Genomic DNA, 13,839 nt, shown 5'->3' on the forward strand with positions numbered 1-13,839 from the left:
TATGTAGATTAATGAGTCATCTCAGTTTGTTGAAGAGACAAAGACCTCACTAGAGCAGCAGTCCACAATCCCCGGTGGTTCTAGGAAGCCACTCTGTCTTGTATCCATCCTAGACATATCCAGAAGAATCCTTAGAGTTTTAGTGACCTGCATCTTTATATGGATAACTTTTAGTCGATATTTTTTAAGGTTATGGGAATAATGACCTATTTTATACTTTATTTCTTAAGAGATGGGGTCTTTTTCTATGTTGCCCAGGCTGGCCTCAAACTCCTGGGCACAAGTGATCCCCAAATAGCTGGGAGTACAGGCATGCACCACCATGCCTGGCTTATACTTTTTGATTGACTTCTTTTTCTAGTGTCCCACCTTTTCCCTTAGAAGAATTGTGGAGTTCCTGTATTCTTAAAAATTAATATGTGTTTATTGAGTATGTGTTAATCCTATCATATGCTAGGCATTACTTTAATACTTTTAGTTGAAGTTGGTTTTATTATCGTTAGTTTTATGGAGACAAGAAGGGAAAGGTGATAAAATTATTTCTAAACTACATACTTATCTGAAACCACTGCCAGAAAAGCTAGACCGTCCTCTTACTAGGTATCACTGCCTCAGGGTAATCTGAATTTTCTATCTCAAGTTAGAGATTACTCTTCACCCCTTCCCAAGCAGATATTAAAGTCTCTTATTCTGTTTTTTTCCTTTAAAAAGTATCAGATCTGTCAAGAGTTGTTTCTTCAGAATCTTCTATTGCCAAAAACTGTTCTTATAATCTATTTTATCATTCACTCACTTTGTCACTGATTAACATATTAGCACCAAAGTTCAACCAATGCTTACCTTTATAAAATGAAAATTTCCCCTTATTTAAATAAATTTTATATTAATTGCTTAGCTGAATGGGAATGATAGTAATAGTATTCTGCCTTGCTCTACCTAGAGCACACCTATGGCTTCCATTCTACCTATGTGAATAATCAAAGTCAAGGTATGATATTTGGCGATACATGTACTATGCTACTCTGCTTCCTTATGGTCAGTTTCTAGGTTAAGGAGAAAACCAAGTAACTCAAGAGAACAGGCAGGTAACAGAAGAGAACCAAGGAGAAGCATATTAATACTAATTCCCAAACCCTCTCCCCTTTTACTAAATTTCAAATTATCATGTATTCTAAATATCACAATATTTTATGTTGTGTGGTTGAAGTAAACAAATTTGCTTATTTGTGGTTACTCAAAGCCTGTCTTCTGACTAGATGGGCCAATACAGTTTTTAAAGTTCAGTTAATCAGGGCTTTTGTATCCCTTTGGCAAGGAAATACACAAGATAATTTAGAAACATCAGTTCTTCAAATATTATTCCTGTCGACTGTTGGATTTAAACTTTTTTTCTACACTTTCATAGATACCGTAGGAAATTTTAGCCCCTCCCTAGGCAGCCGTGGTCAAAAGACTTGCCGGGCTGGATGTGTGCCTGCTGCTAGCTATTGACCGTCCATGAGGACATAGCCTGGTTTCCTTCTGTGGCAATGCCCTAGTCTTAACCAGCCTGCAACCCTAATAGGAACACAGTTCAGAGGAAAGGAGACATCCTTTTTCCAAAGGTGCTCCACTGTCAGCAGGAGGTCACACAAAATCATATTGACTAAATGTTTTAATGCCTGGTAAATAGTTGGGGCCTAAGGAATATTTGTTAAACTGAAAGGTAACTTCAGGAGTCTATCAGTAGATGAGCTGCTGAGTAAATTTAGGAGGTTATCAGCTTTTTTGATCAACTGCTGCCTCTAACTGGTGCTTCATCACTGGTGGACTTGCCAGGCTCCTCACTTTGATCCTTGTGTGAAGTCAGGTTGTTTGAAAACTTGATTCCAATGCTGCCCTCACCAGTACTGCAATAGCAGGTGCTTCTTCATTCTGTGGACTTTGTTTTATCCCAGGGTCAGTGTAATCACAGCTGACCCTTCCTGGCTGCTGCAGGGGAGACACATCTCACATTAGTGCATGTCGTGTGGTGCCCATCCCGTGTATAGAGGAGAAAAGTAACTGGCTCTGGACACCAACAATTACTGAACCTGGAGGAGGACCCAAATCTAACTAGCTCCGTAGCCCACATACTCTCTCCCTTGAAAAAAGAAGGAAGGGGGAATTTTTTTTTTTTTTTTTTTCCTGCTTGGCAGACAAGACTAGGAAGTGCCTTGTGAATTACTCCCTTTTTTTTTTTTTTTTTTTTTTTTTTTTTTTGAAACGGAGTCTCGGCTCACTGCAGGCTCTGCCTCCCAGGTTCACACAATTCTCCTGCCTCAGCCTCCGAAGTAGCTGGGACTACAGGTGCCCGCCACCACGCCCGGCTAATTTTTTTGTATTTTTAGTAGAGATGGGGTTTCACCGTGTTAAGCCAGGATGGTCTCAATCTCCTGACCTCGTGATCCGCCCACCTCGGCCTCCCAAAGTGCTGAGATTACAGGTGTGAGCCACTGCGCCCGGCCGAATTACTGCTTCTTTCTAAAGTTATGCCTGCTTGAGTCTGAATATAACCATTTTAAAGAAAATCAAAGAACATCCCCCTCCCTCCCACAAATGCATAAATATAGGTTTCTCTAAAAGCCTGGGTCGCACTGACTACGGCTTTTTGGAAATTTGTCCTCTGTCCCTCCATGGAAGACAAATCTAGCATTTTGTAAAAAATTAAACAGTAACAACAAACAACTCCCTATTGGCTGCTTTTCACAGGATGCCTCTCCCTTGAAGCAGCCACCCTCTTTCCCTAAGCGCTTATTTTCCCTCCCCTCCCCTCCCCTTCCTTCCGGTTGTTAAAACTTTCACCAGTGAGAGGATGGTGTACTGCAGTAAGGCAAGCACTTGCAGTGTGTCAGGCATTTGAGATATAGGGAGGAGACAGTAACTATGGGGCAATGAGGGTGGATGGCTATTGCTAAGTGCCACTGATGCCTCAAGAAGGATAATGAACATCAGAGAGCAAGTACCAGGCAACTGGAAGCCAGATGTGGAAGCCCGAGGACCACTAGTTGCATACAGAGAATCTCTCATCTGCAGTGGAAGGGAAGAGAAAGTGAGGACTAAGCCCAGGGCTTAATAGAGTGGCAGAATTTCAGACAGTTAAAACACCCAACCAAGGCAGGTCTGATATGTAAGGTCAAGGACCCAATTGGGAAAACCTAACACATGAGATGGCAATATCTGCTTGGATCCCCCCCAAAGACTTTTACTTCCTGAACCCCTCAGAACATTCTGAACCTATACATATGCCTCCCCCATTCCTTGCTAGCACTCTCCATTCCCAATATTACACTGGCCCTTCTTGTGCAAGACAATGTATGCACCTTTCAGAGTCCTCTATGACTCAGCTGGGGACATGCTGGGCTTGCTAAGGGAGAATAGGGACTATACTGAACTGTAAGATGTAGTCAGCATGGACTGACAGGAGCTGGAGGAGATTCTGAGAGCACTTGAAGAGGGGGACCAGAACATAAGGTAGAAGAGAGGACAATTTTTGACTTGAAAGGGTTTTTCTAAGATACAGAATTTAACTCCCTAGCATAAGTATCCCAGGTGTTGGTGTAAACTTGCTGCTAGCATGGCTTCTAGAAAGCTGGAAAAAGTGATGGCCCATGTTGAACAAAGTTAAAATTCCAGAATTTCTATGGGAGACAATGGAGGAAGGGAAGGAAAGGAGAGGAAAGGAGGGAGGGAGACCATATTGTGGGGAGACAGAGGAATATAGACTATTGCCACATCCTATGCCTCTTCTCTCCACTCTTGTTTAATTGACCACTTGGGCCCCTGAAGAAACTGGATGGGTTAGGGAGGGTCATTGTAGACCATCACAAGCTCAATCAAGTATAATCCCAATTGCATGCTGCCAGATGTATCTTCATTAGACCAGATCTATACTGCCTTAAGTATATGGGTATACAGCTGTTGATTTAGTGCAGGCATTCTTTTCTCTTCCAGTCAGAATCAGAAACAGTTCACATTTTCATGGAAATGATAATACACATTAACAGTTTTGCTCCAAGGCCATGCTAAGTCCAAAGAAGTGTGGACCAGCTGGACATCCACAGAACATCACATTGATCCATTACAACAATGCCACCATGTTGATTGGGCTGGATGAGCAAGAAGTGGCTAGCACACTGCAGACCTTGGTAAGATATGTGTTTCCCCGAGGGTTGGAGATTATCCTGAGTAGATTCAGGAGCCTGCTACATCTGTAATATTTTCAGGAGTTCAGTAATCAAGTCCAGTAGCCGTAGACATCTTCTCCAAAGTAAAAGACAAATTATCGCACCTTGTACCTCCTAAGGAAGAAGAAAGCAGAGTGCCTGGAAGCCTCAGTTTCTTAAGTCAGCATATTCTGCACCTGGGGATACTACTACAACTCATATCAGGTGACATGACAGACTGCCATTTTTGAGTGGGTCCCAGAGCAGGAAAGGGCTCTGCAACCAGCCCAGGGTATCAAGCAAGCAATCCTGTGGCTTAGGCTGTATGATCTGACAGACTCTATGGCAGTATCAGTGGTGGGAAAAGATATTGTGCAGAGTTTGTGGCAAGCCCCAGTGGGTATCAGAATGCAAGCCGCTGAGGCTCTAGAGAAAGACCCCGCCATCTTCAGTGAAGAATTGCATACCTTTGAAAAACAACTCCTACCCTGCTAGCGAGCCCTGGTAGAGGAGAAAGAGTGTCTGACCATGGTCACCATGGACAATGTGGCTAGAACTGTCCAAAAAGTACTGTGTCCTATCAAGCCCAATAAGTCAGATGGCCCCAGCAACAATCCATTGTAAGATGGATGTGGTACCTCCAGAAATGAGCACAAGTGGGGTCAGAGGACACAAGCAGGCTGCATGAGCAGAAAACCCAGACCCCCTGTCATCTGCTACATTGTACCACAGCTCCCCTTTCAGAGCACACCTGTGGCTGTACGGGGGATCCTATAAGACCAGTTGAAAGAGGAGGGGAAAGCCTGAGCTTGTTTCATGGATGGGTCAGCTCCACATACGGATGCAAGCTGAAATCAGATGGTAGCTACACTGCAGCCTCACAAGGGTAGTCTTGAAAGACAGTAGTGAAGGAAAAGCTTCCTAATGATCAGAGCTTTGAGTAGTGCACCTGGTCACCCACTTAGTGTGGGAAAGAGAAGTGATCTAAGGTTAGAATATATAGTGGAAAATGGCCTGGCCCAGATGGTCAGAAAAAACAGATCAGGGATAAGGAGGCTGGGGCAGAGGCACATGAATGGACCTAAGGGAGCGGGCAAATCTTTGTATCACATGTTAACAACCACCAAAGAGCATCCACCATTGACAACTAAACAGCCAGGCAGTCGGGTGACTCAGCCCACCAACTTCAGCCAGCCAGGCTCGCCAGTGTTGGCATGATGGCAACATGAACAAAGTGGCAGAGATGGAGGCTCTTCTTGTATGGGCCAACAGCATGGAGTCTCAATCAAGATAATTTGTCTGCTGCTTCAAGGCCCAAACTACCTGCAACAGAGACCAACACTGAGTCCCCAATATGGCACCCATTCCTCAAGAAAACCAGCTACTTGATGGCAAGTTGGCAAAATGGGGCTTTTCCGTCCTGGAAGGCCCAGTAGTTTGTTCTTACAGGAATAGGCACATATGGAGGGTATGGGTTTCCCTTTCCTAACCATAGAGTCTCAACTAGCACCACCATCCAAAGGCTCAGAGAGTGTTTGATCCGCTAGCGTGAGATTCCATATATCACCTTAGACCAGAGGATCAACTTCACAGCAAAGGAGGAGTGGGAGAGAACCCAAGACCATGGGATTCATTAATGGTAGCGCATAATGCATCACCTAGAAGCTGCCAACCTGAATGAGCATTGGAATGGTATGCTGAAGACATAGCTAAAGTGCCAGATCAAAGGCAATACTCCGTGAGCATGGGTGACATCCTCCAGGATTCAGTAATGCATTGGATCAAAGACTCATACATGCTACTGTCCCCTAAGGACACATGGGAAGAAGGAATGAAGGAAGAGAGGGAGGGAGGGAGAAAGGAAAGGAAGGAAAGGAAAGGAAAGGAAGGAAGGAGGGAGGGAGGGAGGGGGGAGGAAGGGAGGGAAAGAAATGAAAAGGAAAGAGGCTACCTTTTTGGTGATTTGTAAGGATCTAGCAGCCATAATCGTCACCGCTGCTCTCCTAGGAGACAGAGACAAGTCTCCTGGGCCCAGCTCCCACGGCTGCTACCACAGTGGAATGGGGCATTGGTGGAGAGGTCTAAGGGACAGAAATGGATTGGAGAGGTGATTCTGTGTGAACAGCATATTGGAGAGAAAAGTGAACACCCATGAACCTTTCAGATGCAGCTGCTGAATGAGGGTTGTGGGCCCAGTGGGGCAGGGCGTTACACATACAATATAAAACCAGAGCTCTGAAGAGCTTGAAAAACCCTCAGTGTGTGTCACTCGGGAAGGCTTCTAAGCAATTTGTGGAAGACACATTGGGGATCCCTGAGCCCACTGGCCCCCCAGGGCTCTGCTCTGCTCGGCACAGTAAAGGTGGCACCCAGCACCCCGTCTCAGCTCGTGGACACCCTTCCCTAATATGCTGTGACAAGAACCACTATGTTGCAGCCACTTAAGACATTAAACACCCACTCTGCATGCAACCCCCGTCGTCCCCAGGGGCTCCTTGGGAGAGCAGCTGCCTCAGCAGACCCTCACCTCCTTCCGGCCCCTTCACCCCTCCATGCCCCTTTTTTTTTTTTTTTTTTTTTTTTTTTTTGAGACGGAGTCTTGCTCTGTCTCCCAGGCTGGAGTGCAGTGGTGCGATCTAGGCTCACTGCAAGCTCTGCCTCCCGAGTTCATGCCATTCTGCCTCAGCCTCCCAAGTAGCTGGGACCACACGCGCCCACCACCACGCCTGGCTAATTTTTTTTGTATTTTTTTAATAGAGATGGGGTTTCACCATGTTAGCCAGGATGGTCTTGATCTTCCGACATCGTGATCTGCCTGCCTCAGCCTCCCAAAGTGCTGGGATTACAGGCATGAGCCACCGCGCCCGGAACCATGACACTTTTAAACTGGTTTTGCAGCTGATTTCCTGAGTCAACAGCTCCTTACCATTTCATTGCCAACTGACCCTTTTATCACTTCCCTGAACCCTATGTTTTTAAAGATTTTGTCTAATTAGCCAGCCATATTTATTGCATAATAATTCTTGTCCCCATGACAACCAATGTTATCAAACTGAGTTGATACAACGCCAGTCAGAAGCAAAGACATTTCTCATGGCAAACATATAATTTCCATTAGACTTCTTTAAATGTTGGAAATCGCTTCTGCCCTTCTTCCCATTAGGCATCCAGGGACCCTGGGGTGGGAATTTCTTTCTGAGGGTTACCTTTGAGTGCCCACCAAATCTCCATGGTTCTCCCTTTTCACAGATGGGCAAACCAAGCTGTTTTGACATGAGTTAGCTTAAATTGACAAAGAATCAGAGTGGAAACAGATTTTTTAAATCTCCCCCTTTTTGGTCCCTAACTCCTCAGAGCACTATTGTTTCCAAAAAATAAAAATAAGAAAGCTGCAATCAGCTGCCACCATTCCCTGAGGGAGCCTTCTCTGGGCGCCGCCTGGCCCTTCCCCCAGGATCTTGGGAATCGCTGGCCAGCAGCTGCCTCAGCTCCCTGCAGCTAGAGTGTGGAGTAACGTGGCAGACAGAGCCTGAGAGGTTATCTGGTCTAGGCTGTCCCAAGGGTGTTTCCTGGGATGCTAATTGCTATTTTGAGGGAAAAGGCTTCTGTGGTCATTTACTTATGAGAAAGACAGAGTTAAACAAAGGTAAACTGGTTGAGTTTAGTTTTTGTTTTGTTTTTACTTCAGGCCTTCCCAGAGCCTTTAAAATGCCTTTGGTCCCAAGTCTCTGACAGGAGGGTGAGGTGGCTCCATTATCTCCACACTTATTGGACCTGAATGCTCTTTTTCATAGGAAAGCTATGAACAAGAGGAACATGGTTTGGAAATGTTTGTCCCAGCCACCATGTCCAGATGAGGAAACAGAATTCCATGGAAGTGGAATGACCAGCACTTGGTCCCACAGCTGGATGTGGCCCAGCCAGGGCTGAAGCCAGACGGTGGAGTCTCAGCCTGGACTGTTCAGACTTGGGTCTTTCCCTCCATCCTTCACCCACCACACACCTTGATTTAACCCAGGAAAAAACTTTCCAGTGGGCCACAGAAATGGAGCAGATTCTGCTCGGATAGAGACTGCTTCTGAGGTTCATCTGTGTCTTCAGCAGAATCCCCCAGGCTGGTGGACGCAGGAGGGAGCGAGGAGGCAGGAGTCCCCACGGACATGGCTGCACAGCCTGGGGCCACAGGGCTTCCAAGAGGGAGCCAGTCTGCAGCAGAAAAGCCCAGAGGGCAGCTTCCGCACACACACAAGCACAGCCCCCACCCCCGACACTGCAGACAGGGCCTCTTCCGGAAGGCGCTCCCCCAAGCTCATGTCCCACAGCCTGGGCTTGTTGGAGGCCATCTGGCCTGCAGATGCTGGTGAGCCTCCATGGTGTCTGTCCCCACTGTGGCAGGGACAAAGTCCCCAAGAGGAAGAGAGGACCTGACTGCTCTTCAGAGCTTGACACACAGCACCCCCAGCCAGAAGCTGACCTCCCACTTGTTTGAGGCAGTGTTCAAGGGGCTGTCCACAGCAAGAGAGATGGGACTGGGCTCCATCTCCAAAGAGGCCTCCCTGAGCCAGCACAGAGGAAGGACAAAGAAAAGATTGAAAAAAGCAGAGTTGGGGCTCTCTGGTGCCATTGCGCTGCCTCCATTCAGCTAAGATGCCCTGCCTCTCCTTCCACCTAAAGCAGCTTCTGCCACTTAGGAGACCCCCCTCTCCCCAAACACTGAATGGCACGGGTTGGCCAGCTTAGGAACTCCGTTGACTAAGCCAGACCTTCCTCCTTTCCGCCTGCCCCTAGAGTGTGAGAGGGCACAGCAAGCAGCTGTCCTCCCTGCTGGTGGTCACCACCTCCAGCACTGGCTCTGTTTCCCTTTGAACATTAATTAGCAGGTGGGTTCTGATTTGAGAGTGAAGCATTCTTTGGGGGTGCCCAGCTGAGAGCAGTGGTCTGGTGGAGCAGCGTGCAGGACTCTCTGGAAGGCTCACCCGTTATAGCAGAGCTGGAAATGTGATTTCCAGGCCTGAGTCGGATGGTGGGGGAGGGTCGCCCTCCAGCCTGGTGACTGGAGGTGAATTCCCGGATCTCCTGGGTCTTGGCTTCTTCCTCTGTGAACTCTGACTTGGGGGTTGTTGGGAGGTGATTTAGTGCTGTTCTAACATATGCTGGTATCTGCCCTTCACAACGCGGGGACAGAGGCGGATGGCAGTGTTTTCACTGCTGTCCCTGTGGACATGGAGGGTGCTATGTGGGGAGAAGTGCCACAACCCAAAATCTCAGCACATTAGTCCTGAGTGGAAAACCTCCTCTGACAGTTTCTTCAGCAAGCAAAGTGCATTTCTACTGTGCTGATCACCCTCATCCCACTTGATCATGTTCATACCCAGACCTGAGCTAGACCCTCAACCAAATTAGTCCCCAGCCAATCTGGGACCTCTTGGAGACCGTAGGGTAAGGAAAAGTGGTGAGGGACATAGCTTACTTGAGCTTAGGATTCCTTTGGTTCCTGAAGGTAAGGAGGGAAACACTTGGGCTGATGGAGGGCCTATTTCAGGTCTCACCAACAAAGAAGGGACAGGTGAAATAAGAATACATGAGGCCAGGCACAGTGGCTCACACCTGTAATCCCAGCATTTTGGGAGGCCAAGGTGGGCGGATCACTTGAGGTCAGGAGTTCAAGACCAGCCTGGCCAACGTGGTGAAACCCCGTCTCTACTAAAAATACAAAAATTAGCCGGGCGGTAGTGACATGCACCTGTAATCCCAGCTACTCAGGAGGCTGAGGCATGAGAATTGCACCACTGCACTTTTGAGACAGAGCTAGACCCTGTCTCAAAAAAAAAAAAAAAATACATGGGCCACATGAACAAACAGGCTCTCTTCAAATAGAAGCTGGTTGGTCACATCACCCCATTGACAAGATCCCTGTCTAGCTAGAGATAGCCTTCCGAGACACATGACCAGCCTTTGAATCCTGGGACCGCCACTTACAACTGGGGGACCTTGGGCAAAATAGTTGGCCTCTCTAAGCCCCAGTTTACCCATCTATAAAATAGGGATGATAAAATCAACTCTTAGCGTTGCCTTGTGAATCAGGCTAAGTGGTGTAGGCAGTGTTGGCCCAATTCCAAAAGCTCAAGGCTGTAACCAATGAAAAGAGCTTATGGACTCATGAAAGAGACAAAGAAACCCACCCGTCAGGAGTTGCAGGCAGTGAGTGCTGTTGGAACATCAGAAATGGGTACTTCACTCTGGCTGGGGGTGATCCGAAGCGCCCCCCAGGTGGGGAAGGAGGGAACCATCCAGGTACGGGCTGCACATGTGTTCATGGAACTGCAAGCAGGGTGGGGGATGAAAAGGAAGCGTGAGGTATATACAGAATGTGGGAGGAGGTGGATTGAGAAGGGCTCAATGCCCTGAGCCAAAGCTGTGAACCACATTTCAGTGATCACAAGGGCTACAAGCTGGGAAGGCACGATCACCTTTGGGTTTTAGAAAGGTTATTTCGCCAGCTGTAAGAGAAGGAGGCAGGGCACCCTGAAGGCAGGGAGGCCAGGTAGTAGGTGGTTCTGTTCTGTGGTGGAGGATCCTGGGCTCGGAACTGAGGTAGAGGCAGTGGAGAGGTGGCTCCAAGAGCTGGGACTTGGGCGGTGTCACTGTGGAGGCTGAAGGAGAGGGAATCACTCAAGTTGCTGGCATGGGTGGTTGATGGTACCATTCACTGGGAGAGGATTCAGAGAAGGGAAAGGTGACCCGTTCAGTTCCCAACATGTCAAAATTGAAGTGCCCAAACAAATAGAGATACTCAGTTACACAGCACATAGTAGGAACTTTATAAATACCTGTTGAATGAATATGGTTGGGGTCTAGGCTGCAGCTCAGCAGGGATGGCAGCCCAAGGTGACAAAGTACGAGTCTTCACACACGAGGATGGACAGCGTGGAGCTCTTGGGTTCAGAAGACGCTCCTTGGCCAGGTGCAGTGGCTCACACCTGTAATCCCAGCACTTTAGGAGGCCGAGGTGGGAGGATTGCTTGAGCCCAGGAGCTTAAGACCAGTCTTGGGCAACATGGAATAAACCCTACGTCTACAAAAAATACAAAAAAATTATCTGGGTGTGGTGGCATGCGCCTGTAGTCCCAGCTACTCAAGTGGCTGAGGTGGGAGGATAGACTGAGGCCACGCGGTTGAGGCTATAGTGAGCCATGACTGCACCAGGGCACTCCAGCCTGGGTGACCAAGTGAGACCTGTCTCAAAACAAAAACAAAAACAAAAACAAATCTGTTGTAATTTTTTATCGGAATGCATTTAATCCTGTTATGGGTTGAATTGTGTCCCTCCAAAATTCATGTTGAAGTCCTCAGTGTCTCAAAATGACATTATTTGGAAATAGGATCATTAGAGATGCAAAAAATTAAGATGAATATAGTGGGGTGGGCCCCTAGTCCAATACTACTGGTGTCCTTATAAAATGAGGGCAATTGAACGCAGACACTACAGAGAGAATGCCATGTGAAGGCTGGAGTCACACTTCCACAAACCAAGCAAAGCCAGCTCTTAGCACGGAGCCCTGGAACAGATCCTTCCCTGGGGCCTTCAGAGGAAGCATGGCCCTGCCAGCATCTTGATTTTTCGGCTTCTTTTTATATACTGACTTTGTATCCAGATCCCTGCTCAATTTAGTTCTTAATTTTGAGAGTGTGGAGATGTTTTTGGATTTTCCTACATCCAAAATCATGCAATCTGCAAATAATAACACTTTTTTCTTCCATTTTTTATACTTTCCCCCACTTTTTCTAGCTTTATTGCACTGGTTAGAACTTCTGTGACAACGCTGAGTAGAAGTGGCACACTGAACATCCTTTCCCTGTTCCTGAACTTGGGGAAAGTGTCTCTATTAGTCAGTTTTCATGCTGCTGATAAAGACATACCTGAGACTGGGTAACTTATAAAGAAAAAGAGGTTTAATGGACTCACAGTTCCACGTGACTGGGGAGGCCTCACAATCGTGGTGGAAGGCAAAAGCTATGTCTTACATACTGGCAGATAAGAGAGAATGTGTGCAGGGGAACTCCTCTTTATAAAACCATCAGATCTCATGAGACATTCACTGTCATGAGAAAAGACCCACCCCAGTGATTCAATTACCTCCCACCAGGTCCCTCCCAAGACACGTGGGAATTATGAGAGCTACAATTCAAGATGAGATTTGGGTGGGGACACAGCCAAACCATATCAGTGTCCAATATTTCACCACTGAATATCATGTTAGCTATAGGCTTTTTAATAGCTACCCTTTATCAGATGAAGAAAAGTTAGGGTCTGTTTTTATACTCTCTATTATGTGACATTACTCTGGTTGTTTATTTTTGTATTAGTTTCTATTTTAATTACTATAACCTTATGATACAATTTTATATTTTATAGAATAAGTCCCCTTCCATATTTCTTTTGCAAAACTGTTATGAAATATTTTTGCCGATTTACGGGATTTTTTTTTTTTTTGAGATGGAGTCTCACTCTGTTGCCCAGGTTGGAGTGCAGTGGAGTGATCTCAGCTTGCTGCAAACTCCGCCCCCCTGGGTTCAAGCGATTCTCCGGCCTCAGCCTCCTGAGTAGCTGGGATTACAGGTGCACATCAGCACACCCGGCTAATTTTTGTATTTTTAGTAGAGATGGAGTTTTGCCATGTTGGTCAGACTGATGTCAAACTCCTGACCTCAGGTGATCTGCTTGCTTTGGCCTCCCAAAGTGCTGGGATTACAGGCATAAGCCACCATGGCCTGGCCTATTTATGGGATCTTGACTGAAATTGCACTAAATTTTTTAATTAATTTGGGGGAAAATTTCACCTTTGTAATATCTAATAAATATCCAGGAGCACTGAATAAATATTTCTCCATTTACCCAGATTTTCTTTCATATACATGGTGATATGGTTTGGCTGTGTCCCCACCCAAGTCTCACCTTGAATTGTAATAATCCCCATGTGTCAAAGATGGGACAAATGGAGATAATTGAATCATGCGGGTGGTTTCCCCCATACTGTTCTCATGATAGTGAATGAGTTCTCACGTGATCTGATGGTTTTATAAGGGGTTCTCATTCTCTCTCCTGCTGCCATGTGAAGAAGGATGTGTTTGCTTCCCCTTCTGCCATGATTATAAGTTTCCTGAGGCCTTCCCAGCCATGTGAAACTGTGAGTCAATTAAGCCTCTTTTCTTTATAAATGACCCAGTCTCAGGTATGTCTTTATTAGCAGTGTGAGAATGGACTAACATACATGGTAAAGATTTTTCATGTGATTTCCACATTCTAAAAAATTATGATCTGTTATGTATACATATAAGATATTTATCCTGTACATATATTTATCAATATATATCTCTCACAATGTTAAGAAGAATAACATGAACACCCACACAGTCATCACCCAACATAGGAAGGCATTGCCTTTGCCTTTGGACCCCTCCATGTCCTTCTACCCAATTTCTATCCCCCTTTTATCTTCCCGCCTTCAGTAGGGCACTACTGTCTGTGTTAATAATTCTGTTGCTTTTTATTGCAGTTTCACTCCAAATGTATGTGTCCCAAAATAATGCATCTTTTAATTTTGTGTTTCTTTTTGACTCGCTTTGCTTGTTCAACATGTTAGTGATAATCACT

General features: G+C 46.2%; 2 annotated features.

Moving 5' to 3' along the window:
- Positions 6,869 to 7,261: a silencer, noted in NCBI's record as "fragment chr1:180866978-180867370 (GRCh37/hg19 assembly coordinates)". NCBI's record gives its function as "represses an EF-1alpha promoter that drives an FKBP-Casp9 reporter gene in an ReSE screen in HepG2 liver carcinoma cells {active_cell/tissue: HepG2}" and the evidence as "EXISTENCE:reporter gene assay evidence [ECO:0000049][PMID:32094911]".
- Positions 7,935 to 8,763: an enhancer, noted in NCBI's record as "H3K4me1 hESC enhancer chr1:180868044-180868872 (GRCh37/hg19 assembly coordinates)". NCBI's record gives its function as "activates a minimal SCP1, AML or CMV promoter by ChIP-STARR-seq in naive H9 embryonic stem cells {active_cell/tissue: H9 hESC(naive)}" and the evidence as "EXISTENCE:reporter gene assay evidence [ECO:0000049][PMID:30033119]".

Source organism: Homo sapiens, chromosome 1 (genome assembly GCF_000001405.40).
Source record: "Homo sapiens chromosome 1, GRCh38.p14 Primary Assembly".
NCBI classification, from domain to species: Eukaryota; Metazoa; Chordata; class Mammalia; order Primates; family Hominidae; genus Homo; species Homo sapiens.